The following is a 4,394-nucleotide window of genomic DNA, read 5'->3' as shown; positions in this document are numbered from 1 at the left end:
TGGGGTGATTAATTATGAGATAATCATTTCCTGTGTTGAGAATAGTCACTATAAGAGGTGACTTTGCAAATGTAATATAGAGACTATATTATAAATTTGTTCATATGCTCTTAAATAAAAATGACCATACACTTGAAAGAAAATTAAAGCTCATCCTGCCAGAATTCAATTGGGTCATACTGTTAAGCAATTTATGGCAAAAACAATAAAGCAGTTAGCCAGTAATTAATGGAGTCTAATGGACTGATGTAATACCAAATGAGACAGTTCAAAAGAGAGATCAAGAAAAGAGACAGTAGACAGAGCCCTGATAAAACCACTCTCGGCTGGGCACGGTTGCTCATGCCTGTAATCCCGGCACTTTGGGAGGCTGAGGTGGGCAGATCACCTGAGGTCAGGAGTTAGAGACCAGCCTGGCCAACATGGTGAAACCCCTTCTCTACTAAAAATACAAAAATAATTAGCCAGGAGTGGTGGTGGGCGCCTGTAATCCCAGCTACTTGGGAGGCTGAGGCAGGAGAATCTCTTGAATCCGGGAGGCAGAGGTTGCAGTGAGCCAAAATGGTACCAATGCACTCCTGCCTGGGCAACAAGAATGAAACTCTGTCTCAAAAACAAAAACAAACCACTCTCATTTCAGGTTGGCTATGTGCATGCCGGAGGCCATGCCCTCTGAGGAACAGCACCAAAGCCTTCACACTGCAGGGTTAATAGGCTTTACTTAGCCAAGTCACAGAATAATGAAACAAGCAAACCACAACTAAATCAAGTCCAGAAGAAGGGAGAGGGTAATTAATATCCAGAGTTGCTGCAGTATATTACCTGAAATTCTACTTTTCAATAACGACAAAAAAATATGAGACATGCAAAGAAACAGCCAAGTATGACCCATGCAAAGGGGAAAAAAACAGGCAAGAGAAATTGTCTGTAAGATAGACTGGGTATCAGATTTAACAGACTTTAAAGTAGCCATTATAGTTCAAAGAACTAAAGGAAACCATGCTTAAGGAAGAAAGATAGGAAAACAATGTCTCATCAAATAAATAATATCAATATACAGATAGAAATTATTTTTATTTTTATTTATTTATCTTGAGATGGAGTCTTGCTCTGTTGCCCAGGCTGCGGTGTAGTGGTGCAATCTCGGCTCACTGCAACTTCCACCTCCTGGGTTCAAGTGATTCAGATTCTCCTGCCTCAGCCTCCTGAGTAGCTGTGATTACAGGCATGTGCCACCATGCCAGCTAACTTTTATTTGTATTTTTAGTAGAGATAGAGTTTTACCACGTAGGCCAGGATGGTCTTCAAATCCTGACCTCAAGTGATCTGCCCACCTCGGCCTCCCAAAGTCTTGGGATTACAGGCATGAGCCACCATGCCTTGCCAATTATTAAAATGAAAATTCTGGAGGTGAAAAGTACAATAACCAAAATGAAAAGTTAGTTAGAGGGGCACAACAGAACATTTGAACTAGCCAGAAGAAAGAAAGAGCAAATTTAATGATATATTGATAGAGATTATACAACCGAAGGAACAGAGAGAAAATACAATAAAGAAAAATAAGCAGAGCCTCAGAGAAATATAGGACGTCTGTAAGTGCACTAACATATGTGTAATGGAAGTACTAGAAGAAGAGAAGAAAGAGAAAGGAGCAGGAAGAGTATTTAAAGAGAAAATGGGCCGGGCGCGGTGGCTCACGCCTGTAATCCCAACACTTTGGAAGGCCGAGGCGGGCAGATCACGAGGTCAAGGAGATCGAGACCATCCTGGCTAACACGGTGAGACCCCATCTCTACTAAAAATATAAAAAATTAGCCGGGCGTGGTGGTGGGCACCTGTAGTCCCAGCTACTCGGGAGGCTGAGGCAGGAGAATGGCATGAACACAGGAGGCGGAGCTTGCAGTGAGCTGAGATCGCGCCACTGCACTCCAGCCTGAGCGACAGAACGAGACTCCGCCTCAAAATAAATAAATAAATAAATAAATAAATAGAGAAAATGGTTGATAACTTTCCAAGTGTGCTGAAAAACAACGTGCACATCCAAGAAGTTCAATGAACCTCAAGCAGGACAAATGTAGAGATGCACAGCCAGACACATCATAGAAAAAATGCTGAAAATCAAAGATAAAGAGAAAAGCTGTTCATCACAGGCAAGAAAACCCCAGAAAGACTAGCATCTGACTTCTCAGCAGAAACAATGAAGATTAAAAGGCAAAAGAATGACATGTTTAACATAAAGAAAAAATCTGCCAGCCACAAATATTACATCAGCAAAACTATCTTTCAAGAATTGAGGTGAAATAAAGAAATTCCCAATAAACAAATAATGAGAGACTTTATTGCCAGCATACTTGCCTTATAAGAAATAAATGAAGTTCCTAGGGCTAAAAGCAAGTGAACGAGATGAAATTTTAAATCCACATGAAAGAGCAAAACACAGCAGTAAAGGTAATGATGTAATTATAAAAGATAGTGTAAATGCATCTTTTTTCTCTCAACTGATTTTAAAAGTCATTTTATAAGATAATATGTATATAACTGTATTATTGTACCTATAACATATAGAAATGACAGTAACCACACAAAGGAGGTGGGTGTGAACAGAGTTGTACTGGAGCAAGATATTACACCATTATGCCTGTAATCCCAGTGCTTTGAGAAGCCAAGGCGGGATGATCACTTGAGGCCAGGAGTTGGAGACCAGCCTGAGCAACATAGTGAGACCCCATCTCTACAAAAAAATTTTAAAATTAGCCAGGCATGATGATGCACACCTGTAGTTCTAGCTTCTCAGGAGGCTGAGGTGGGAGGATCACTTGAGTTCAGAAGTTCAAGGTTATATTGAGCTGTTATAGCACCACTGTATTCCAGCCTGAATGACAGTGCAAGACCCTGTCTCTAAAGTAAAAAAAAGAGAAGAAATTATACCAGATGATAACTCAGACCCATAGGAACAAAGAGAACTGGGAATAATAAATAAGAAGGTAAATAAAGCAACCTCTATAAAAATATGCTTGCTTTTCATCTCTTTTGTCAGTCCCTTTAATTAACATAAAATTATATAAAGTAATAGTTTTAACAATGTATTGTTGGGTTTGTAACATATATAGATATAACATGTATAACAATAATAGCACAAAAACAGGGAAGAAGGAATAGAGCTATCTAGAAGTAACATTTCTATATCTCACTGGAATTAAGTTGGAATAAAACTCAAGTGAATTCTGATAACATGTATATGGTAATGCCTAGGGATTACAGCTGAGATAATTGAGAATGTAGGACAGCAATAGAGAAAATCAATGAAACCAAAAGTTGGTTCTTCAAAAAGATCAACAAAATTGACCAACCCTTAACTACATTGACAAGGAAAAGAAGAAAGAAAAATTACTAAAATCAGAAATGAAAGAAGGGACATTACTACTGACCTTACAGAAATAAAAAGAAAATAAGGAAATACTACAGACAATTCTAAGCCAAGTGATTAACTTATATGAAATGAACAACCTATAAAAACATAAACTACTTAAAGTGACCTAAGAAGAAATTTTTTAAAATCTTCAGTAGAGCCACACAATGGAATACTATTCAGCAATAAAAAGAAATGAAGTACTGTCAAATGCTACCACTTGGATTAACCTTGAAAACATTATGCCACATAAAAGAAGCCAGTCATAAGGACCACATCTAGTATGCTTTCATATACAGAAAATGTGCAGAATACGCAAATCTATAGAAATACAAAGTAGAGGCCAGGCCTGGTGGCTCACACCTGTAATCCCAGCATTTTGGGAGGCCAAGGCGGGTGGATCACCTGAGGTCAGGAGTTCGAGACCAGCCTGGCCAACATGGTGAAACCCCGTCTCTACTAAAAATACAAATATTAGCTGGGCGTGGTGGTGGGTGCCTGTAATCCCAGCTACTCAGGAGGCTGAAGCAGGAGAATCGCTTGAACCTGGGAGGCGGACATTGCAGTGAGCCGAGATCATGCCATTGCACTCCAGCTTGGGCAAGAAGAGTGAAACTCTGTCTCAAAAAAGAAAGAAAGAAAGAAAGAAAAAGAGAGAGAGAGAGAGAGAAAGCAAGCAAGCAAGCAAAGCAAAGTAAAGTGAAATACAAAGTAGATTATTGATTGCCCAGGGCTGGGAGTAAGGCAATGGGAGACTTGGGGAGGGAAGGCTAATAGGTATGAGTTTTCTTTTGGGGTTAATTAAAATATTCTAAAATTGACTGTCATAATGGCTGTACAATGTTGTGAATATTCTAAAAGCCATTAAATTATATATTTTAAATGGAGTAAATGTATGGCATGTGAATATCTCAATAAAGCTGCTTTTTCAAAAATGACTTGGATGGATAGAATCTGAAGGTGTGGGGGCTGTTGAAATGGTCCC

The 4,394-nt window shown here is 39.1% G+C and overlaps 1 annotated feature.

Annotated features, from left to right (window-relative positions):
• Nucleotides 1,855-2,051: a silencer, noted in NCBI's record as "fragment chr2:149596595-149596791 (GRCh37/hg19 assembly coordinates)". NCBI's record gives its function as "represses an EF-1alpha promoter that drives an FKBP-Casp9 reporter gene in an ReSE screen in K562 erythroleukemia cells {active_cell/tissue: K562}" and the evidence as "EXISTENCE:reporter gene assay evidence [ECO:0000049][PMID:32094911]".

This window comes from Homo sapiens, chromosome 2 (assembly GCF_000001405.40).
Source record: "Homo sapiens chromosome 2, GRCh38.p14 Primary Assembly".
Classification (NCBI taxonomy): domain Eukaryota; kingdom Metazoa; phylum Chordata; class Mammalia; order Primates; family Hominidae; genus Homo; species Homo sapiens.
Note: the sequence above shows the minus strand (reverse complement) of the source record. Positions and strands in the feature narration are given on the sequence as shown.